The 26,050-nt window shown below is 32.2% G+C and overlaps 1 protein-coding gene across 13 annotated transcripts in view; it reads left to right on the forward strand.

The window, feature by feature from the left end:
- The window catches only part of NBEA (neurobeachin), a 730,467-nt gene that overhangs the window by 105,596 nt on the left and 598,821 nt on the right, over positions 1–26,050 (forward strand). For 12 of the 13 annotated variants that reach the window (XM_047430271.1, NM_001385012.1, XM_006719803.4 and 9 more), the window contains 6 exons: positions 698–819; positions 2,404–2,530; positions 8,145–8,264; positions 10,852–10,998; positions 22,043–22,240; positions 22,854–22,987. In XM_047430271.1, the coding sequence (XP_047286227.1) occupies positions 698–819; positions 2,404–2,530; positions 8,145–8,264; positions 10,852–10,998; positions 22,043–22,240; positions 22,854–22,987 (848 nt within the window). Of the gene's footprint in view, positions 1–697; positions 820–2,403; positions 2,531–8,144; positions 8,265–10,851; positions 10,999–22,042; positions 22,241–22,853; positions 22,988–26,050 lie in introns of those variants that run through there. The other variant, XM_011535046.2, reaches the window with a different exon arrangement.

Here is a 26,050-nt window from a genome sequence, read left to right on the forward strand (position 1 = left end):
ATTCACACATTTCTTGAAGTCAGGTGAAATAATCAGCTACTTTCTTATTTATTCCTTAGAATGGCTACATTTTATTTGATTGCTATTTTCAAGGGAGTCCTATATTACTCCTTTTCTGCTTATGAATGGATCTGAATCCTTTTTGGTTATAAATATCAGTAGTTAAGTTTCTGAGTAATAAATGTCATACTTTGCCTTTCTTAGTTTCAATGTTGTTAGCATTATGAACATTATCTCTTAATGCTTGCATTTCTTCAATATTGATTCCATTAACATTTTCTAGCTCAGTCATTTTTGGCTTTAAATATTCAATCTCCTTTAACCAAATGGGTTACTACTGAAAACCTAGTGTAAACCACAGAAAACTGAAATTGGGAGGCTTATGTGTAAGAGACTGTATACTGATGAAACTAGATGGCGACTTCTTGGAGTATAGTCTGAAACCCGCTATGTAATCTAGAGATAAAATCTAATTCACTGAGCATTTGAAAATTGAATGTTTCTATAATCAACAAATACTATTTAGGTGTACTGAGATTGTTTTAATAAAATACTAGCTCTTATTTTATGGATTTGTTTGTGATTTTCTGGTATTTATACTTTGATTGTTATTTAATCTGCAAAAGCCATATTTGACCTTAGCTACTATCACATTTCTTTAACTGATACTTTCGTACCTTTTCTCATTGCCTTGTAGGCAATTGCCTTGCCTCCTATTGCAAAGTGGCCTTATCAGAATGGCTTCACCTTAAACACTTGGTTTCGTATGGATCCATTAAATAATATTAATGTTGATAAGGATAAACCTTATCTTTATTGGTAAGTAATATGTTTAATTTTAGTACTTTTTTCTTTAAGTACTTGAATTCTATAAATGTATAGTCTCAAGGCAACTTAGATAGAATATATGTATATATGTGCGTATAATATATGCTAGAACTGTGAAGACACTGTAAATCAGTTTTATTTATGTATGTATATATGCATTTATTTTGCTATTGATTCTAGGTCATCTGCTTCATGATTATCATTCTTTTCCAATTACAGTTTAAAAGTCAAAGGTACAGACTTTCTGTCCCAGTCTCCTTCAATGTATATCAGTTGTGGGATTTTTAGTGAGGATTGCTGGTCCCTGAAAAAAATTCCAAACTTTTACCAGATTTCATTCATTTTTGCCTTTTCACTTACTTTGTTCTATGAGCATAACTGACATATGCTTTAAAATTGTTGATAATAACTATGTAAGAAATTATAAGATAAGATTATTTGGTGTAGACAACTAGAATGAGTTGATCAACCTAACAATGTGTTGATCTGTAAGGGTTGAAAGCTTGATAATTTTAGTATGCCAGTAATACACAGTACAGCATACTTAACAATAAGTACATCAAACATTCATTGATTGCCATACTGTATGCTAGGCATTGTAAGTGTTTATATATATGATTTCATTTAATACTTGCAATACTCTGTAATAAGACGGCCTGTGTTCAAGTTCTGGCTTTACCACCTACTATTCACCTTGTACTTTTGGTGTCTTCAACTATACCAATGAGGATAGTAATAGTGTCTATCCCATAGGATTTAATGAGAGAATCATATTTAAAGCTCTTTGTATAATGGCTGGGTCAGAAATGTGAACACAGAAATATGTGAGCTATTACTATCTTCTAAGCTCTATTATAAAATATATATGGATAAAATGAGACCAAGTTTTAAATAAGCATCTGAACTTCCAAACATAAATGGGGTTGGACTTCAAAGTGGTCATTTTGGGAGATCATACATTAATTTCAGTGGTATCTGCATTTTTCAGTGATTAAACATTTTTCTACATCGTGATAAATTTACAGCTAAGGGAAATGCTCTTGTAGAAGAAAACAACTATATTTCATAGTTACATCTTTTTAATTTTTTAAACTAAAAATGTACTGCTTTGCTTGATCAACTGTATCATTTATCAAACTTGACTCTGACCAAGTTTTTTTTTCTTTTTCTTTTTAATTTCTAAGCTATTTTCAAAGGTATACCAGAATTAGAGAGCAGGTTGTTATTTAAAATGTGAACTTTGTGTAAATGTGTTCTGTATTTGCTGATTGCAAATGGTCCTTAAAGTCTACTTGGTGGTAGGCTTTTGTTGGCAATTAATTTGTTTTTAAGTATTTCTGAGATTTTAGATTGAAATACTAAAAGCTGTCATAGTCTTTTATTTCCTAGTTTAAATTTCTTATATTTACTTATAACTAACCTTTTATATTTTTGTTTAGTTTTTATTTGACACATATTAAACTGCTTCTACTGTACAGGGAAATAAGTTTTATTTTTATAAGAATGTTTAATAGCCATTAGGTGTTTAGTTCTTTTTATCAGAGGATATTATACTATTCTCAGTTGTCTTTGCAGTTTTCGTACTAGCAAAGGAGTTGGTTACTCTGCTCATTTTGTTGGCAACTGTTTAATAGTCACATCATTGAAGTCCAAAGGAAAAGGTTTTCAGCATTGTGTGAAATATGATTTTCAACCACGCAAGGTAGGTAAAAGTAAATATTTTTATAACTCACCTGTTATGACAGAATTCTTAACTCTCCTTTTATGAGCTCTGTAGTATTCTCTTTCACGGGTTTTCCTATGCTTTTAATTGTTTTCTCTTATCCTTGTCTGCATTTCCTTTTTACTTTTATGTCTAATTTTTGTCTTCTGTAAGATCAGTGTTTTGATATCTTGTGGTGTATTTCTCTTACACTCTCTCATTATCTCAGTCTGATCTGTTTTATGGCATTCTTTCAATAGATACTTATTATCTACTGAGTATTGGATACCATTGTAGGCACTAGGGATTAATAAATATTTGCCTTTTTTTAAAAAAGTTAAATGTTAAACCCCCAGATTAAGCAATGCACAGACACATTTTTTTTGTGGGAGATTAACCTAATCCTAGTAGTTCTGAATATTGTTTCCTGAGATTGAAGGTTTTGTTAATTTGTGATGCTTTAATAATGCTGGCTTCAAGGAGAGGAATGTTGCTGTACTGTTAGTTTTGGCTCATGAAATGTATCTTTACTTAATATCTCAAATAATAGCAGAGACAAGGCCAAAACACATTTTAAAAACTGCTCTAAAGAGAAAATGCAGAGAACTGTGCAACTGTATGATTAGAATTATAAGAGATAATTCATTCATAATCAGGTGGCATTTTCTAGAGGGATTTTCCTGCCTGAGTACCAGACTCCATCTTTGTGTCAGAATAACAAACCATCTGAAAATCCAGATGAAAGAAAACCAGGACAGAGTGCATAGGGGTACCCGTCACACATGTTTAAGGCTTTGTTCCCCTTCCAGGTTCAGGGTTCTTTCTTGGGTATATGACAGTGAGATTATCAACGTTTTTTAGGGCACACTGCCTCCTCCTAACAGAAATATTGCCTTACCCTTTGTGATTAATGGTACAATCATAACAGATATGATGAACCCAAATGTGGTGAGGGGGAGATCTTTATTTCTTTTTCGTATCTTTTTTGTTTGTTGTTGCTTATGATCTGATGTGTGTCTTCCCATATACGGAAAAATATATTATTTTGGGTGGTATTTCCAAAATTTGTTTAGATTTTACATGATTCTAATAAAAATATTTGCTTTATATTTAATGTCAGTTATTGTCATTTCTGTTAAAGAATATCAATTTAACAGTAATTCATTAACATATACTTAGAAAATGATTTAAAAAGCAATGATTCTGAATAAATATATTCATTCATTATAATGGTGTATTCTTTCTTTTTTAATACAAATTGATTATTTTAATACCAATCACATTGCCTTTGCTCTGGAAATTCTGTTTTATTAGAATTAAGGTGAGACCAAGATAGTTTGCTAAAAGTGCCAAATTATTTTGAATTTCAGTGGAATAGATTAGAAGTACAGTTGTTGGTATTATAATTTTTCATGTTAGGATTGTGTGTTTTTAACAAATATTCTAGGTAACTTTTCTCTTCAGACAATTTTAGGAAATGGTGGTTTAAAGAATGTACAGGCAAACAATTAGAGTGAAGTTATAACCAAATGAAATTGTCATTAACCAATAAAAAGCACTTTAACCCATTTGTTCTCACTTTTTCTATTTTGTGTCTTCTTCACTGTTCACTTTTGGAAAACACATTCTCCTTTGTAAAGCTCTCAATATGCAGTGAATCTAAGGGGTCTAGTTAGGAGCAGGGCCAGAGAGTGATGTGGATTTTAAAAAGTCTTTTGTGAAGATTCTCACAAACCTTGAAAAGTCATAAATATTTGCTTTTACTGTGTTTCATTATTCAAAATAAATTCATTCTCTTGTTTATTCCTCTCTTTAATTTTCCATAGATTCCCTAGCTAAGTTGTTGTTATCCTTCCTAATAAGAGATTTACTGGCCTTTCAAAAAGAAATCTTTACATTAAAGCTTTTGCTTTCCCAGCTGTACCACTTAACCAGCTGTTAGAACTTGTGAAAATGGATATAAACCATTAGCATGTTACCTAATGGTAATATGTGCTCTAGACATATTAGCTACTATTGATATCATGCTGTACTTTTAATTTTCAATTTATTTTCATATCTTCAATTTATAATACATATCTTGTGGATTCTTAATATGGATCTTTTTATTCCTTATTACTGGTTGTGTCTTTCTTTTATAAATTTCTTTTTGAGTCTCAAACTAAATGCAGACTTCAGTATATATACATAATATCACTATGCACACATAGTTTCCAAGTTTATTTTTATTTTCTTTAGTCAAAGTATATCAGATCAAAAGTTAGGCTTTTTTTTTTAACCATTGAAAAACTCATTTGTGTCTGTTATCTGTAGAGTACAGTTTGGTGTACCAAGGAAAGAGAAAAGTTACTTTTCTTGTAAATAAGTACTATGGTCTTTACTGAGATCAGCTCATTAATCAGTGCATTTGTTTATTCATTCATTTAATTTTATCATATATTATTGTTACAACCAAAAGCAAACCTTGATAAACTCCAAATCTGATTAATTTTTCTGTATTAATTATCTTAAGTTAATGGTACCCTTACCCATCTAAGTGAAAATTGGAAGCCATCTTAGACTCCCATCTTAGACTCCCCTTTTATATGTTAACACTTCCTATCAGTTCTGTTAGTTAATTCCCATCCTCATTTTAAAATTATGAGTGCCTTTGTCTTAGTTCCGCAGCTTATGGTGTCTTACCTAAATCTTTGCAGTGGCTTTTCAATTTTATCTTTATCCACACTTGCCTGCCTATCTCACCTCCACATTGCTGCCAGTTATTTTCTTTAACTATGGAGCAGATCGTTTCACTTTCCTGCTCAGAATTATTTAGTTATACCACATTATGCAAAAAACAAAGGCCTAAAGGTCTGTTTACAATCTGGTCTTTGCCTGTTTTTGTTTTTGTGTTTTTCCTGCTAAACCTACACACTGAGGAAAGTTTTGTCAAGCATCTGTGCTGTATTGTATTAAGATTCTGCCTGGAATGTTTTTTTAACCACTGTCTACTGAACAGTTCCTTTTCATCCTTCAAGCTTAGTCTTACAGTTCATTTTATTCTTTTAGTGAATATTTCTATGATAGTCTTTCTTCTCTATTTGTCTTTCCTTCCCAGTTACTTATAGTATTTACTTTTATTACTCCCAAATCTGTATTTTAGATACTCTCTATTCTCATAACTGTTTCTCTAGTGAAACTTCCTTGAGTGTGTATATGTTGTCCGTCTTTATATACCCATGATCCAAGGTTGGGATAGGGTACTTGGCATAAAGTAGGCTCAGTACATTTTTTGAATGAATGAATGCCTTTGAAAGGTAAATAATAATCAATTTTAGCATAAACAAACCTCATCATGGGACATAGTAGATAAAAACAAAATAGCAGTTTAGTCAATGGTATGTTATGTATGGGTGCCAAATACATTAGGAACTTTTCCTCATAGTTTTCATACATTATCTATTTATAATATTCACAAGGAATCCACAAAGTAGGCATTATTATTCCCCTTTTTCAGAGATGAAAATAGGTTCAGAGATACTAAGTAATTTGCCAAAAGCCATAGAGCTAGTAACTTGGGAATCCAATTCATGTCTTTATGAAGTAAAATTCTTCCTGCCCAGTACATTATCTGGAGTAGTAAGAACTCAGTAAGTATTGTTTGAATGAGTACTTTTTTTAATAGTAAGTACACCAATAAGTATAATAATACATCTAGTATTTATCTTAAAACTGTCTTTGGGCAGGAAATCTTTTCCTATATGTAGGCATTTATTCGTGTCTCTTCTCTTTAGAAATGCAAAGTTTACACATTTTATTCCACAATATAAAGTTTGTGTCTTCTGTGTTATTTAGATAGCATTCTGATTGAATATTTTCAAATTCAGTGAAGGTAATATATGCAAACTTTAATTCTTATACTTGTAAAATTCTATAAGATTTTCCTTAAATTTATTTGACACTCTTTTTACGGTTTTTTCTTGATAATTTTGTAATATTTAGAAACAATTGTTAAATGAATACTTTAAAGATTTTCTCTTCTGATTTTAATCAGGGCTAACATATATGTTGGTTTCAAATCAAGTGAAAGACTTAGTTTCCAATAAATTAATGATTACCTGGAATGAAAAAACTTAAAAAAGGATGTGCATTTTAGACAGTTAAATGTCTTGACCTGACCTTGCTTTTATAGAAGCACACTGTTGTTTTGTATTACTGACTTTTTTGAGTTAATACACTGTTTTTTTTTTCTTTTTCTGTTTTCTTTTCTTTTTTTTTTTTTTTTTTGAGACAAAGTCTTGCCCTGTCGCCCAGGCTGGAGTGCAGTGGTGTGATCTTGGCTCACTGCAACCTCTGCCTCCCAGGTTCAAGTGATTCTTGTGCCTCAGCCTCCCTGGTAGCTGGGATTACAGGCACATGCCACCAGGCCTGGCTAATTTTTGTATTTTTAGTAGACACGGGGTTTCACCATGTTGGCCAGCCTGGTCTCGAACTTCTGACGTCAGTTGATCTGCCCACCTTGGCCTCCCAAAGTGCTGGGATTACAGGTATGAGCCACCGTGCCCAGCCTATTTTTATTTTCTAAGTTGAAATGAACAAAATTGAATTTTGCTCAAAGTATTTTAGATACCTTGAAATAACTAATATTTTAGTGATTAAGGATTATTGTAACTTTTTATTTCTGAAAATATATATGAAATAATTGAATAGTGCATTTAAATAATCTGTAGAACAAAGTTTGTATTTTATATTTTGGTGGGAGGGAGAAACCAGTTAATTTTCCCCCCTTAACTTCAGAAAGCATACTTGTTCAAATGTTTACAAATCATTTGTATTTTTCTATACTTTAGAAAAAATTATTTCTATATTCTCGATTTTAGGCTATTAACTCTCAGGAGACTAAAGGTTGCTACAGAAATCAAACCATCCATATTAAAATAGATACTTAAAATGCTTTTTGATACCAGTAACTATAAAATGGGCACTTAATATGAACTCTTTCATTTATTCTTAATAAATATTCCCACATTGTTATTAAATATATAATTATCCTGGATTTACTAAATCTAAATGGTGAAATTGAAGCTACCTAAATCTTATTATAAATGCTAAAATGTTGTTTCTTTGACAGATCCTTCCTGACCATGCAATCCAAAGTAGAATCCTTGTTTATTCTTTTTCAGTTTATACTGTTCTTTTTCTCTTCACTGTAATCACCATGATTTATAATTCTACATTTGTTTAATTGTGTCATATATATTTCTTTTACTAGCTCATAAATTCTAGGAGAACTGGTCAGCCTTGGGTATCTGCAGTGCTTGGCACAATGTAAATTTTAAATGAATGAACACAAATAAATTGTATTTCTACAATTTCGAATCTTGGTATAGTGGAAGGAACGTCACGCTGGAGGTCAAGGGGTTGTAGTTCTTGTCTTCTCCAGGAGTATTCTTTATGTGCCACTTCTACCATCTGTGAAATGAGAAATGAGAGGGGGAACTTGATCAAGTGGTATTAGATGATCCTTAATAGTCCTGTCAGCATATTCTTGTAGGGTTTTATGAATGTTACAATTGCATTTTAGACTGTAACAACCAAACATTACATATTGATATATTTAATTTTTTTATTTAAGTGGTACATGATCAGCATTGTCCACATTTACAATCGATGGAGGAACAGTGAAATTCGGTGTTATGTTAATGGACAACTGGTATCTTATGGTGATATGGCTTGGCATGTTAACACAAATGATGTAAGTCTTTATTTTTCTGTCTGTGTTTTAATTTGTTTGGGAGTATGATCTATCATTACAATATGAATTAAATAATAAAATAGTTTGGTAGAAGCTTAAAACTTTGAAAGTTTATTCTTTTTATTAAATAAATCTTTCATTGTTAAATTTAGTATAAGAAAATTTCTAAAAGACATGATTAGTGATTAAAAAAACAGAAACATTTAGCCAAAGTTTTAAGTTTTTTAGATCAAAAACCATGAATCCTGTATTCTGTTTTTTTCCAGCATCAAGCACTAAAAAATGTGGTTTACCCCTTATTTAGATATGGAAAGAAGACCCTAAACAGAAGTATAACAGATAGTCACTATTATTAATTACATAGTGATAAATGCTATGGAGAAAATAAATTGGGGATACAGGAAGTAGGTGTAGGGAAGGGAGAAGCAAGATGGTCCAGAGATGATTTTAGTAGGAAGAGTTGAGCAAGCAAGATATGTGGGGAACTTCTTCTATTCAGTGGGAACAGTGAGTGCAAAGGCTTTGAGGCAGAATAGGAAAGTTCAAGGAAAAGGCAATTTGTCTGGAGCAGAGGGAGGAAGAGGCAAAATAATATTAAGAGATGAGGTTAGGCAGAAATCATTTTGGCCTTCATAAGCAAACAAGGCCTGGGTTTTCGCATCTTACTCAGCTTAAAAATCCTTGGAAGGTTTTCAGCAGACAAGTGATGTGTGCTTCTATTTTAAAACCATCAGTCTGCCTGCAGTATTGAGAATATTTTGAAGGGAAATTACAGAAGCGGGAAGATCACTTAAATCGCTTATTATAATAAAACAAAGAGACTTTATTAGTGTCTACCAGTATATTAGCAGGGGAAGAATTGACACAGTTGGATTCTAGGTAGAGAATAACTAGAATCAAAACCTCAAGGGTCCTTACGGTTTCTCTACTTTGGGCTTTCCATTGTCTACATTCCGGCCTGTCAGAGCCAAAGTGAAAGGTTTGTTTTAATGCTGAAAGTACCTCCAAGCTCAATAATATACAACCCTTCAAGCATACCTGGTTTTATAAGAACTTACCTCTTAAACACAATTCATTTCTCAGTTTTGTTTGCATCTCTCTAGGCTTTCATCTCCCGAAGGGCAGGGATTTGCTTATCCTGTCTTGTATTCTTTTAACTAGCACTGTGCATATGGTCCACAGTTTGTCCCCTAGATTGGGGCTGGGCAGACTACACCCTATGAGCCAAATCTGACCCTCCCCCTGTTTCTGGTTTTGTGTAAGCTGGGGGCTAAGAATCTTGGCTTTTAATTTTTAAAGGTTTTTGTTTTTTTGTTTTTTAAGAGACGCAAACAAAATCAAAGAAGAATGGGACAGAAACCAGGTGTGGCAGGCAAAGTTTAAAATATCTTCTGTCTGTCCCTTTATAGAAAACGTTACTTTTCTCTGCCGTAGAAACTTATGGTTGAGCCACAACCAATAAATATTTAATAGAATGTTGTTTTCAGAATTAGAATACACAGATGAAATTCTGCTTTTTATCTTCTCTCCAGAGGAGATCTCTCCAGAGTCTTTTTATTATAGAGTGGAGGAAATCCCAGTGGTCTTCTTGACTCATTAAATGAGAAGACAGTATCTTGGAAAGAAAAGACTTAGTTTTTTGGTTATTTGTAATAGTGCCCTAAGAAGTGGAGAATTCTAGATTATAACACATATATACATTCTTTATGCAGTTAAAGTTCCCATACTTCTAATTAAAGATTGTGTATTTAATGACGACAATTTTTTTTGCCTTTGTTCTCCATTCACAATTTTTTTTGTTACTTTATTGCAGTACGAAAAGTACTTCTTACATATATAATTTTTGCTTATTCGTTCTAAGGTGTGAAATAGCCTGTGGGGATAGGAGAAAGGAACTGAGCCATGACTGCCTTCCCTGGTTTGGGTGGGCGGGGTGTAAGAAGTAGAGGCTGGAAAGATCAAGCTTTTGGCTTCTTCAGTGCTGAATTCCTCTTGTGGAGAGCACTGTACCATCGGCTTTAAGCAGCAGATCTTAGTCTTATTGTTTATTTGATTCTGTGTAATTCCTACTCATATATGAGAAGCGATTGATTTTCTTTGTGTCTTTTACTTAATATGGAGAAGTAGAGGAATAGATTTGTAATTTGAAAAATAAAGTAGAATAAAAAAATTAGACCCTATGTGTTCATGATTAAATTTTGGAATAGTCATTCCCTTGATTCAGATCAATCTCTCCATATATGGATCATTATACATCATTACAGTTTTAAATTAGTTTAACTTTTGTAAATAAATAATTATAAGCTATTTTGCCTTTAACTATAGTATTTGAAAAGTGGTAAGTCTGAAGATTAAGTAGGTGGCTATTGTTTGTTTGCTTAAACATAAGTGTGAAACATGTAACTGATCATTTTTCCCAAAAAACTTGACTGGCATTTATTATTAAAATAATAAAGTCTTAATTGATGCTTTCTTCTATTATTATTGTTATATTTTAAAATATTCATGATAATGAAGGCCGATTTAAGGATTTAAACCTTTTTGTCATTAAAAATAATGCATTTTTCTTTATTACTTTTAAAAATAGAGCTATGACAAGTGCTTTCTTGGATCATCAGAAACTGCTGATGCAAATAGGGTATTCTGTGGTCAACTTGGTGCCGTGTATGTGTTCAGTGAAGCACTCAACCCAGCACAGATATTTGCAATTCATCAGTTAGGACCTGGATATAAGGTAGTAATAACTGTAATTTTATAAATTCTATGGAGAGTTTTAGATGTAAAATGTGGTGTAATATCATTTTTAGTGAAAATCTTTAATACGGTTTAAGAGTCATTTCTATTTTTTGGAATGTAGTCAAGTTTTATTATATGTTTCTTTTTGGTTCAAAGATGCTTCTTAACCATTTTATAAACTTTTATTCTTCAGAATATTTTCTAATATTCATGGCATGCCTTTTGTTAACAATTCTGAAATAATAGATCTTATAAAACTGTTTTGCTTAATGTAGTATTTAAAATACAAAAATTTGAAATATACATATTACTTAATGAACATAATAAAGAACTTGTTAATATTACTGGTAACTTGGAAAGAAGAGTTAAAGATTTAGAAGGAAACTAAGATAATATATTTCATGGGCCTAAAATTATTCAATTTTAGCTTATAGTTTTGCTTTAATTGCACTAAGTGAGGAAGTAGGTACAGTAGTGAGTATACTAATTTAGCAAAACTAATTAATGTAATTTATCATATTCTTTTTGTTTTTTAAACTTTAAAAACAAAGACTCTAGGTAAGATAGAGCGTGCACATATATGAGTTAGTTTTAAGTGTGTAGTACATCTGGCTAGGGGAGTATATAAGGGTTCTATTTAAATCACATTGGGAATTGTAAAGTCTCAAACTACTTCGAGCTGAAAGAGAATTACACATTATAGTCAAAGTGTTTATAATTCTGAAGGAGTACTTGTCTTGTATGGAAGTGTGGTTTTTTATTGAACTCAATTTAAATAATTAATGTGAAGATTGTGTAATGGAAAGGAGTAGTAAATATTAAAAAATATTCCCTCTTTGGCCTTTGTATTTTTGCATTGGTATTTCTCTTTGTATGTCATATATATATATATATACAGAGAGAGAGAGAGAGAGAGAGGAAAGTTTGAATTTACCCATATTAAAAGATCTTTTTGTTCTCAGTGACTTTAATAACCATAATAATACTGAAGAAGAATAATGCTATTATTTTTATGTCAAGGTAACAATACTTGCTATCATGTATTTTCCATATCATTTTTGGTTTTGTCTTACTAGCTCTAGAAATGAACTTGTGCTTGTACAGTTACTTTTTCTTTCATGGGTCTTTTTGTTGGGTTTGCATCCTGGTTCTGCCATTGTTGATCTTGCATAGGAATATTTTTGTAATTCACATTTTGTATTAATATGCTGCATGCTTTTCTTTCCTAGTTCTTTGAGTTTTTTCATAAAATACTTGCAGTGTCTTTTTAAGCTCTAATAGAATGATATTAAATAGAGTGACAAGCAAACAAATGAAATATAAGAAGGTAGAATATCAAGAAAATACAAATCCAATATGATTGCTAATGTTAAATTTTAGAATTGATGGGAGCTTCCTGGCAACATCAAGGAAAAGGGCTGAATATAAGCAATTTTGTAATTCTTCTATTCACAAAGAAACAAACTTTGTCCTGAACAGCTTTGCAAACTCTGTAATTTGTAGTATTCTTTTCACACGTCTTTCTTGTCATTCTTTTTAACAGCAGTGATAATGAGCAGTAACCCTGTCATCATGTGTACACAGCTCATGTGACATAGTGTATCCTTAGTATCCTAACACACAGTAGAGTACCTAAAGTCAGAACTTTTAAGAGATATACTTGTAAATTTGGGCATTACATCAGAGAGTATTTTATTAAGTTTTGAAAGTTCTCAGCTCACTGCACCCCTTGTTGTTAGCTTGGGTTGATGATAAATCCACGGGTAAATGCATTTTCTCAATTTGTAAATATTATAAATACAGTTGCTACCATGACAGGCATCAGCAAAAATTTTTTATATTAAAAAGCTTTTTTTTTCAGAAATTCAGAGAATATAGGGAAGGAGGAATGCATTTGATCAGATTGTGTTTTGACAGAAGAAAACCTGAGTAGTTCACACATTATAGTCACAATTATCTTGGTAAAGTCACTTTCTGTGAGTGAAGGGGTAGAGGGCTACAGTGGAATTTTTAAGGTGTAGAGAATATAATAACTAGTGGACATTTGGATAAATCACAAATGGAGTTTAAATTACTTAGTGTTGTATAATAACATAGTATTTATATTTTTTTGCCTTAAGTTATATGGAACTTTCTTTCATTGTAATGGTCAGACAATATTTATGATTCTGAGCTTAGTGTAGATAGCATGTCAACATACGGGCTTCGAAATTAATAAAATAAGTTAATTCTACCTTCAAATAATGTCATCAAACTGTATATTCAATGGAGCCTATCACAAATGATTTTGACTTGCTGGTCACTGGAGTGCTAGGTAATTTTTGTTCTGTCGAATTTTTGGTTTTGAGCGTTGCAGTTTATCAGTAAATATTCTGTACTTGGTTATTTTCTGGAAACAGTAAATAAGTTAGGGTGTCACTTATTAACTAAATCATTCAGTTTGGAAAATAAAATACAGAAATTCAGAAAATATTTAAAATACTGAAAATCTCACTGTAGATTTGTCTAGTATGGTAAAATTTACTATCAGATAAGTTTACTGTGGATCTCTATTTGGGGTTATTTAATGTCTTCAAGATTATAAAATCTTGTGTATCAGGTGGCCCTTTGACATAAGCTTGCAAATCAGATTTTAACAAAGTTTTTATATTTTATAGTTATTACTAGATATTTTCTCAGTGTTATGTTAACCCTGTGTGGCAAGCAGTTAGTCTTCATTGCCAGATATTTGAAAATTTAGCTTTGAGTTCTCTCCTTCATTTATGAATATGATAACAATGGTTTTATGAATTGCTATATCATAATAAAGTTCTAACTGATAAGAGAAAAAGTATAACACAACCTCCAAATTAAAATTCACTTCAGAGGATTTCCAATACTTGTATGGAGGGGTGAGCTCCTAACAAACTGATCTTCTCACAAATAACCATTTGTAAACTCTGCATATAATATAGATAACATCTATAGGGTTATGGAGATTGAATAAAAGCAGGCAGGCTTTGGAGGGTAGTCAAAATATGGAACAGTCAGTCTGCATGGACTGATATCCTTATTTTTTGCTTTTATAGGAGACTTTCTGGCCAGAAAGTTTCTCTACAATATTGTACGGAGTAGTAGTCACACAATTTAGCATATAATCCCAAAGTATTTTTTCTAAAAATAGGAAAATGTGACTTATTCTCAAGGGAAGAGAAAATCATCATATACCAACACCAAGATAACTCACATGTTGGAAATATCACATGAGGTCTATTATAACTAGTGAGGTAGAGAAAAATTTACTTATAATGAATTAAAAGACAGGAAGTATCAGCCATGAAATAAAACAAAGTCAGATGGCAATTCTAGAACTGAAAAATATATCGGAATTAAAAATAAGCTGTATGGGCTTATTAGCAGAATTAATATGATAGAGAAGTAAATGAACTTGAATATAGATTGATAGAAACTTTGAAGAGAGTTGTGAAAGATTGGGGTAAAAAAATAGAACCCTAGAGATGGATGGGGCAATTTTGAAAGGTCTAATAGGCACAGTATAAGAGAAAGCCAGAAAAAATATTTGAATAAATGATGTTAGAAAACTTCTCAGATTTGGTAAAAGGCTTACATTTATAGATTGAAGAAACTCCGAAAACTCCAACCAAAATAAATGCAAAGAGAACCAAAGTAGGCACATTACAGTCAAAGTGTGGAAAACCAAAAATAAAGAGAAAATCTTGAAATCAGGCAGAGGAAAACTAGACATTGATAAGGGAACAATAATTTGAATATCTGTACACATCTCATCAGAAAGCAGTAAAGCCATAGAGGTGGAACAAAATCCTTAAAGTTCTGAAAGGAAGAAAAAAAATCTGTCAACCTAGAATTTTTTTATCCGGTGAAAATATTCTTTAAGTCTTTTGAAAGAAAATTAAATAAATTTGTTGTTATTTGACTGTCATTACTGACTGAAAAAGAAAACCTGGATGATTAGGAGTATATACATGTAATACATATGACAACTAACAGAAAGATTTGTGGAGAGGCTATAAATGCACCTACGTAGTTGAAAAGTTGCTGTATTTTACAATGCATCTTGATAGAGTGATGTTGACTACAATTCAATGGCTAAAACAAAATTAACAAAGTCAAAATTGCATGTCTTTTCTTGAATGATAGGCCAAATATGTATCCAGTATTTCATTTACCCACAGCATATGTTGTAGACTCCTCTTTCAAATGAAAGGTAACAAAAGCTCAGTTGAAAGGAAAAACAAAATAAATCAGTGCTAGCTACTACAGATAAGGTACACTAAATACAAATAATTAGCCTTCACTAATTCATCCATTCATTCTTTTATTAAGCAGTTGGGCACTGTTCTAGATGCTAGGGATATAACAATTAAAACCAACAAAACCCCTGCCTGTATTTTGGAGAAGTAGGGTGTGCAGTATCATGGGAGAAGATAGATTACAAAACAAAAGAAAAATATATAGTGTCTATATGGTGATAAGAGCTATGAGACACACAAAGCAGGTAAAAAAGTTGGAAGTTGATGCTAGCCAAGTGGATATACGGGGAAGAGCTTTAAGGGCAAATGCCAGAGCCAGAATAAAGGCCATTAGCAGAAGCTTACTTCACAGATTAAAGAACATTGTGACTGTTTTCCTGTGACTGTTACAGAAGGAGCAAGGGGAAGAGTCAAGGAAGATTAATTCAGAGAACAATTACATGCTTTCAGAGGATTGTTATGACTTTATTTTTGCTCTTGAGTGAGAGGAACAGCCATTGAAAAGTTTTCAGCCTGATACCAATTTGAAAAGGATCACTCTGGTTACTTTGGTAAATAGGGAGAAAAGGTGGAAATAGGGAGACTAGTTAGGGGGCTGTTGCAGTTATTTAGTGAAAGAGCTCTGGAAAGTATTGAGACTCGATTAGATTTTTGATAAAGCATATCTAAAATATCTAAGACTCTAAAAGGTCAGCTTTTGGATATACTTTGGAGGTAGTGCCAGTAGGATTTTCTGTCACTGTGAACATGGGGTAAGGGAGCAAGAGAGGATTGAGAGGAGCAAGTAAGTGACCCCATGAATTTTAGGCTGAAAAACTGAGCTGATGGAGTTGTCATTTACTGAGATGGGGAGGACTATAAAGAAATAAGTTTTGGCAGAGAAGATCAAATATTTGGTTATGGACATAGGTTATGGACATAGTTGTTTGAGATGCCTGATAGACATCTAAATGTAAAAATGAAGAACGTCTGGAGTTCAGAGGCGACATACAGGTTGGAGATAGAAATTTGGCATTGGCAGGATATGGACAGGATTTAAAGGTAAAGGACTGGATTTAGGTACCAGTGAAGTGAGTTCAGAGAAAAAGATAACTGAGAAATGAGTCCTTGGGAAAGCCAGTGTTTGTAAGTTGAGGAGATGCAGAGGAACCAGCAAAGGAGAATGAGGAGAACAAGGGAATAAGGAGAAAAAGCAGGAGAGTGTGGTGTTTTAACTTGACCTACTTGAAGTTAAATCTCCTTTCTTCTTCATTGAGGATACTGATTGTCAAATAGACACAGGATAATAGATTAGAAAATCCTGTAATTATACATAAAGAACAGTCTCAGAATAACAATATCAATAATGCCCAATTGTTATAATTACTGAAAATACAGTTAATTTGTTTTTGCATATGTTATCTTCATTCTCCATCTTGCCATTTTTAAAATAGTTGAGGTATGTTACAAGGTGAATTATGTTCCCCTAAAATTCACTAAAATTCTAACCCTCAGTAGCCCGTAATCTGACTGTTTTTGGAGACAGGGTCTTTAAAGAGGTAATTAAGGTTAAGTGAGGTCATTTGGTTATTGGGCCCTAATCCAATGTGACTAGTATCCTTATAAAGGGGAGGAAATTAGGACACAGCCACACGCAAAGGGAAGACCATGTGAAGACACAGGAAAGAAAAGGTGGTTAGACTGTCTTCAAACCAAGGAGAGAGTCTCCAGAAGAAAACCCTGCTGACACCCATATGTCAGATTTACAGCCTCCAGAACTATGAGAAATTAAACTTCTTTTATTTAAGCCATCCAGCCTCTGATTCTTTTTCATAGCAGACCCAGCAAGCTAATACAAGGTCTTATCTGTGTTGTGAGCGCACACAGTCACTACATACCATTGACTCTTAACTCTTACTTAATCATAGTTCTATAAGTACCTGTGTGTTTAAGGCTTATATTATTTCCTTATATTGATGTGTTTCGGCTGTGTTTTAGCTCTTTCTGTAGTAGATTCCTCAGGAAGAGTTCATGGAAATAGTATTTCTTGAGAAATGCATTTTGATACTAGTTTGTAAGGGGCTTTATACTTTATACTTGAAAGCCATTTTGCCTGGCTATAAAATCCCTGACTTTTCTTTCTTTGGATGTCTTAAATATGCTACTAATTTTTCTCTGGCATGAGGTATTGGTATTGAAAGCCTGTTGACAATGTAGTATCTTCTCCATTACAAGGCACTTAGTCTTGTTAGATGTTCAAAGGATTTTTTTTTTCTTTTTCCTTATATCTAGTAATTTTGGTAGATATGTATTGGTGTTGGTCACTGTGAGTTAATTTCTCAGGTATGTGGTGTCCACTTTCATATGTAGTTTGCATCTTTTCATATTTTAAGAAATTGTTCTTGTACTATACTTTTAGAATTTCTTCTATTTCCTTGCTTTGGTTTTCTTCTCCAGACACTTGACTATGCATGTTTATTTACTTTGCTTATCTTTAATATTTCTCTTAAATCACTCCTCATATTTCACTTTCTCTTAAATCTTTATCTCCTTCTTTATTTCTCTCTCATTTTAAAATTTAAAAGTAAAATAAAAATTACAGGAAAGCTACAAGCACTATCCCAGTCAGTTTTTTTCCTGAACCCTGAGAGTAACTACTGACATGATGGTTATTTAGGAATGTGTTTATTTCCACATATTTGTGAATTCATCAAATTCCTTTATATTATTGATTTCTAACATCCCAGTTTGGACAGATAATATACTTTGTATTATATCTGTCTTCATAAATTTATTCAGGTTTGTTTTATGACCTGAGTTTGGTCTATTCAGGGAATGTTTCGTGTGTACATTTTTTTTTTGGAAACAGGGTCTCTCCTTCTGTCACCTAAGCTGGAGTGCAGTGGTGCAGTCCTAGCACACTGGAGCCTTAGACTCCTGGGCTCAGGCTATCCTCCTGCCTCAGCTCCTGGGTAGCTGGGACTATAGGCACAAGCCACTGTGCCTGACTAATTTTTCAGTTTTTTATGGAGACAGGGTCTTGCTCTGTTGCTCAAGCTAGTTTTGAACTCCTGGCCTCAAGTGATCCTCCTACCTCAGCCTCCCAAAGTGTTGTGATTACAGGCATGAGCCACTGAGCCCAGCTATGTGTACTTTAGAAGAATGTGTATTAAGCTGTTTTAGGATGGTGTGTTCTAGAGATGTCTGTTAGTTCTGTTTGGTTTTTGTTCAAATCTTCAGTTTCCTTCTTGATCTTATGAATGGAAAGTTGAGTATTGAAGTGCCCAACTATTATTATTAAGTTGTGTGTTTCTCCCTTCATTTCTTCAGAGATTTCTTCATGTATTTTGATGCTTTGTTGTTGGGTGCACATATGTTTACAATTGCTATATCCTCCTGATAATTGGCCCTTTTATCATTATCCAATGTCTTTTTAATATCTAGTAATATATCTTGTTTTAAAGTCTATTTTGTCCGATATTAGCACAGCCATTCCAGCTTTCTTGTGGTTTCTTGATTTTTTCCCATTTTATTTACTTTAAATATGTTTTTATCTTTGAATATTCTATAAACAGTATGTTATTGAATCTTATTTTATTATCCAGTCTGACAATCTCTGCCTTTTGATTTGATTGGTTATTTCATTCATCTTTAATGTGATTATCGATAATTAGGTTTCCATCTGTCATTTTATTTTTTGTTAGCTATGTGTCTCATGTTCTTTTTATTTCTTTATTTCTTCTTTACTGCTTTCTTTGGATTATGTGCTTATTTTCTTATATAGCATTTTCAATTTTTAAATAATTTTTTTCACTTAAAAAACATTTCTTTAGTGATTGCAGTAGAGCTTACCATATACATCTTAACTCACTGGAATCAGCCCCAGATTTATATTAATTTTATCCTAGTGAGTTATATAAATGTTACTTCTATAGAGCTCTATTTGTTTTCTCTGTTTTTGTGATATTATTGTTATACATATAGTATCTGTATATGTTACGAACCCAACATGACGTAATTATTACTTCATATAATTGTGTCTTTTAAAGAAGCTGAGAGAAGAAAGATACAGTATATGTTTATAGATTTTGTTATATTGATCTTCTGATTTATCATTTATGAATCTCTTCATTTGTTTCTGTGGATTCAGTTACCACTTGGAGTCGTTTCCTTAGCTCAGTACAACTTTGCTTCCATCTACCTTCTTTGTTATGCTGAAGTGGTCCATACTGAAAAGAATGCATCATACTCTACTTATTTGAGTGTAATTAGTACAAAATATATTCATACCTTCTTTTCTTCTTTTAAAATAATTATAACAGTTTTATTGAAGTGTAATTTACATGCCATACAAATCATTAATGTTAAGTGTACAAGTCAATTATTTTTTTATAAACTTACAAAGTTGTGCGGACATCACTACAATTTAATTTTAGAACATTTCTATCACCCCAGAAGGATCCTACCTGCCTATTTGCAGTCACTCCTCATTCTCATCCATCTCCTCCTAGTCATACAGATTTATATAATAATTCTTCCTCTGAAAATCCTTCTGAAAGAAATAATACGGTAAACATTGATATTTATATAAAGGCTTATACTTTTATGTAAAATATTTTCTTTAAAAAAAATTTTTTAAGACTCAAGGTCTCACTCTGTCACCCAGGGTGGAGTGCAGTGGCATGATCATGGCTCATTGTGGTCTCAAAATCCTGGACTTGGTGATCCTTCCACCTCAGCCTCATGAAGAGCTGGAACTACAGGCGTGTGACACCACACTTGGCTAATTTTTAATTTTTTGGTAGAGATGGGGTCTCTCTGTGTGTTGTCCAGGCTGATCTCAAACTCCGGGCCTCAAGTGATCCTCCCACCTTGGCCTCTCAAAGTGCTAAGATTACAGGTGTAAGCATAGTACATGTCCGCCTTTATATATAAATTTAAAGACATAGAAATAACCTAATACTGCAAGTAAGGAAAGATAAGAAAATTTTCTTCATTTAATGGATTCTATGTTTATATTGAAATTACATTATACACTTTTTTTAAACCTAAAACTTGTAGATTTATTACATAAACTTGTTTTCCTCCTACAAACCAAAATAGCGTATGGTATGTATCATGGACTCAGAAAAACTAAGACCAATCAATGTTTTTCCAAATAAAAATAGGTTTTATTAGATATCTTACATTTCCACAAAATGATTTTAAATCTTTTAAGAGAATATATTAAAATTTGTTAATTCCAGTGTAAGCAGTATGAACAAAATGAAAGCAAGAGTTTTGTTCTAGACAATGGGATGTACAAATGTTTCAGCAGTGGTAAATTGCAGACACGGAAAGCTGATTTCAGTGTTTAACAACTTATCTGTGTGTTTTAATTCAGTCACTGTTTTTTTGAATGCAGGTATGCTGAGTTCTTAAGCATTCTAGTGATAACACTACCCTCCTCATTCAAAAAAAAGTATTATCAATGACATACTTCAGACTACAGCATACACAAATTTTTAATCGTTCATGTTGCTCTTGTCTTGGCACATGCCTGATAACTAATGGTTTGCATCCAGTTTTCTTTTAGATAGTCTCTACACGCTAGTCCAGAAGTAAAAACTGACATGTTTGGTCTGCACAGTGTTAAAATGTTTGAATTAAATTTTAAAATATAGTGATTTTAGATAAAAATTCAGATTTCATGTTTCTCTTGAAAAATATGGAAGAACTAGCAACATTGAACAGTTGACTTGAGCTGAGGAGTGGGGGCCACTTTTAGAAAGGACAAATCTTCTCTAGTTTGAGGAAGTCCCCATCTGGCCCAATTCACTTATATGCATATCTGTATGCCTCCCGTAAGAACTTGAGTTTGGGACATTTAATTTAACCTTATAACATTAGAGTAAGAAAATTAGAGCCACATCAGCCTAATGATTTGCTCAGCATGAAAAAGATAATTAGTGGCAGAGTCAGGATTTTAAGATGATTTCACTATCGAAACATTGAATATGGAGTATAAATCAGAAGACTTAGAATTACGTGCTGGCCCCTTCTACATCTTAATTTCTGTAACATTCAGTTTTCATAGTTGTAAGTTGAAATTAATAGTAATACTGATATGTGATTATTGCAAAGGTTAAATATTATTTATCATTATTAGATTCATATCTGCAGAGCAATTTTAACCACATCTAACAATACCTTTCTTGTTATAGATGGCATAGGTTTAGTTCTTGTGTTTCATAAAAAGTAATAACATGTTTTAATGAACTTCTCTTCTGAGTTTTGTATGTATATTGTGATATTATTATTGAGTAGCATTGGTATTTCATAGGTTGATTTGCTTTTTAGTAAAGATGTGAATATTTTTACATGTTAACTTTTTATAGCCTCAAATGATAGTCATTTTTCTCTATAAGTAATTCATGTGCCAGGCACTGTTTATTTACACAAATACTTTTTAAAGTGTTAACAAGAAAAATTCAACTTAAGCTCTGATGTAGTCAAGTAACATCCTATTTATATATAATATCAGGTTTGATATTTTTTCTAATGAAATGATTTTGCCAGTAATCAAAAACTTTAAATTAGAAAATGAAGATCTGAGCATTTTTATTGGCATAATAAAACTTAACTCTCATTGAATTGAAGTGACAATAACAAAGTAAGTAATACCACTGAATAGTCCCTGACACATGAAAGGTACACAAGTAGTTTATTATTGTAAATGTTTCTCTGCTTTAAAACTTTTGAGTGTAATTGTTGCTTTTAAAAAGAGTGTTTACCTTAGTTTTATTTTTTCAGAGTACCTTCAAGTTTAAATCTGAGAGTGATATTCATTTGGCAGAACATCATAAACAGGTGTTATATGATGGGAAACTTGCAAGTAGCATTGCCTTTACATATAATGCTAAGGCCACTGATGCTCAGCTCTGCCTGGAATCATCACCAAAAGAGAATGCATCAATTTTTGTGCATTCCCCACATGCTCTAATGCTTCAGGTGGGTGAATCGTGGCTTTGTTTTCATGTTCTTGTCAGAATTTGACAGTATCTTTATTTTATATATCAAACATTGCTCATCTATAAATCTATGATTTTTTTGCTTCTTTTTTGGCTTTTGCAGATCTTTTAAGTGAAACTTTAAAGAATATCTCTCTTTTCTATAGCAATATACTCTACCCTGGCCTTGTCTCCTTAGTAGGAAATCTGTCATATCCATTATCTTATATAGCCTTTGAAATTAAATCAATTAACTGAATAAGTTAGTTGTTAGATATAAAAACATACTTTGCTTTAAGAATGTATTACTAATATTCTCTAACATTAAAATTACTTGTCTTTAAATCCATCAATAGTATTTCTGATTTTAAAATAACGTTTGATTTTAACTTAATATTTTTAGTGTGAAAATGCCTCAACCTAAGATTTGAAATTTAAAAGTGATTAGCAAAGGTATTCACTTTTTTGTCTTATATGTGTATAAAAATTATAATTGAAGGCTTAAAAATGTCCAAGTATGTTATTTAATTCTATTATAAAGGTATTTGGAACAAGGAAATAGTGATGAAATCATTCTATAGAAGTTTAATAAACATTTTTGTTTTTGGACATAGGATGTGAAAGCGATAGTAACACATTCAATTCATAGTGCAATTCATTCAATTGGAGGGATTCAAGTGCTTTTTCCACTTTTTGCCCAATTGGATAATAGGCAGCTCAATGACAGTCAAGTGGAAACAACTGTCTGGTAAGTTTTCTTTGCATGTACAATTGCTGGTATTTTATACACACTTAAGACTATGCATGATGTACTCAGTGCTGTGTAAATGTATTACAGTATTTGGGTTCTGCCCTTAAAGTGTAATAAAAAATTTTTTAGAACTAATGGAGATAGATATTTATACAATAAATAAAGAAAACGCTGACATTTAGGTTGTTATATCATAAAGGAATGCCTTCCTTGATAATAAATAGAAAATTCTTACCAAAGATAGCATAATGATTATAATATGTAGTTGAGGGAAAAATATTAATCCTGACCTTATCATTTGCATATACTCATGGTTTGAATTGACCATGAAACCCTGTCAGGTTGAAGAAAATTACTAGGGTAAAGTTATTCAGAAGAATAACATTTATTAGCAATTACATAATTTATATCTTAAAGAATGGTATTATTTTATAATGCTTTTGTCATGGCATAAGTCTAGCATAATATTAATTGACATCAGCCCTTATTTATATATAGTTTATATGTGAGGACTCAATCTAACCAGGCAAATCCATGTTTATGTAAAAATTAAATCTCTTCTAATGAGTGTGATTTCATGTACATTTTTATAGTTTCTCTTTTATTAAAAAAAACCTTATGTGCCAGACTCTAATTTAATGTTATATCTTAGAATTATACATACAAGAATTTAAAAATGAATTGTAGTAGCTATTTTGATTATACACATTGCCATGCTTGGGGATTTTAATGGGCAAGTTATATAGATAAGCATTAATTTTTATTCCAAAAGTAACATAGTAGTGCTTCATTAGTGTATATATATACATATACATGAGCTCCTTAATGGGTTATCTAATTTTGAATTGATGGCGAATCTAGTGAATGAAGATATGAGAAAAATTTAAGGTACAATGAAATGCTTTTTCTCATAATTATTATCTAAATTAGCTATTAATGAAATTCCATTTTAGTATTTCTAATAATATTATTTCTGTTTTGGGAACATCTTTATGTAAAGTATAAATCTAAATATGGATATGAGATTTGTACATTTATAACATTCACCTCCCGTCTATGGGTCTTGCCTTCTTTTATATCAATATAGTGTAAAGGTTGGAGTTTTGAAAGTAAAAAGCTTTGAAGTGAAAAGGAATCCTGAGGTTATGTCCTGCTGTGATACTATTTTGCTTGTGAGATCTTAAATAATCTAATTGGAAGGCAGCTCAGCTTAGTGGAAAAATCAAACTTTAAATTTCAGTCCTTTATTTAAATTCAAAATGTTTTACTATTTATCATCTCAGTGAACTAGGACATATTATGATCAGTATTTAAAATCTAGTCAGTACTGTGAAAAGAAGTGGGAGATGAAGTAGCCACTAGAAAAATCCATGTATTAATTTAAATATTTCTTATGAAATAATATGAAATACATATATTATCAAATCTTACTGCTAAAACCATATGTAATAGGTTATTTGGTTTATTCATCCAAGACACATGGTTACTTTTTACTGTCTTTCTTCAAAACTCATTTAATATTTATATTATATCTTGGTATTTAAATTGTATTTATTTCATCGTGGAGATAAAAGATAGTGTGAGGAGTCAGCATACCTATTTTCATTTTGATTTTAGTTCTTTAAATCATCCTAATATTTCCCTATATTAACTAATTCCAACCTTTTCAGTGATGTCTATTATGTCTTTTGTTTGTTTGTTTGTTTGTTTATTTATTTATTTGAGATGGAGTCTTACTCTGTTGCCCAGGCTGGAGTGCAGTGGTGTGATCTCTTGGCTCACTGCAACCTCTGCTTCCCAGATTCAAGCAATTCCCTTGCCTAAGCCTCCCAAGCAGCTGGGATTACAGGCACCTGCCACCATGCCCAGCTAATTTTTTTTATTTTTAGTAGACACAGGGTTCCACCATGTTGGCCAGGCTGATCTTGAACTCCTGACCTCAAGTGATTCACCTGCCTTGGCATCCCAAAGTGCTGGGATTACAGGCGAGAGCCACTATGCCTGGCCCTGTTTATAGTTTAGCCAATAGAAAACATTACAAGAATGATACTGCTTTCCTCTTTAATACGTACTCAATTCCAGGCTACCCTGTGATTTAGTTATGTACTATTTTTAATTCTTATCTATTACTTTTTCATTAATTATTTCAGTATCCTAAATATCTGAGATTTGCTCTTTGGTACAGACAATTGTGTGGATCAGTAATACAGTCTTTTGTTATTTAATGTTTTATAGGGAACCATTATAGAAAAGTATGTGCATCAGTGAAATAGTCTGTGATTTTGCAAGCTGTTAAGTGGGATTTCTCCCTCTATTTGAAAAATACAGATTCATGGCTATGCAGGGGTGATAGAATTTTATGTTTTATGGCTATATCATCAGTTCATATCGATGATTGGGACCTTGAAATAGGATTTATCATCTTATTTAGTTGATAATAAATTGTTCTAGATTAAGGATAATCAATTTGAAGTTTTTAAATCTTACAGAGAAAATTTAATATACTCCTTTTTGGAAGTCTGATTGCATGGTAAATAGATGACTGAAAGTTGCAATACTGTCTAATTTTTAATTACTTTTTTGAGAAATGGAGCTAAGCTCAAATATAAGTTACTTCTTTGCCCTCTGTGTTTCAAGCTGAAGCATTTTATCTTCCACATAGTTTTCTCTACTAAGTAGTACCTTTTAATGAAACTTTTCATTGTTTCTTAAGCCTTACCTCTGTTGGCACTACTACTTTGTTTTATCAACTTTGATGAGTTTTTACTTTATATAGGGGATTTAGAATTTTTAAAAAATTATTGGCTGGGGGTGGTGGCTAACGTCTGTAATCCCAGCACCTTGGGAGGCTGAGAGTGGTAGATTGCTTGAGTCCGGAATTTCAAGACAGCCTGGACAACATGACAAAACCTCGTTTCTACAAAAAAATAGAAGAAGTTAGACGGGCATGGTGGCATGCACCTGTAGCCCCAGCTACTGGGGAGGCTGAGGTAGGAGGATCACTTGAGCCCAGGAGGTGGAGGTTGCCATCAGTTGTGATCACACCACTGCTCTTCAGCC

The sequence above is a fragment of the Homo sapiens genome, chromosome 13 (genome assembly GCF_000001405.40).
Source record: "Homo sapiens chromosome 13, GRCh38.p14 Primary Assembly".
NCBI classification, from domain to species: domain Eukaryota; kingdom Metazoa; phylum Chordata; class Mammalia; order Primates; family Hominidae; genus Homo; species Homo sapiens.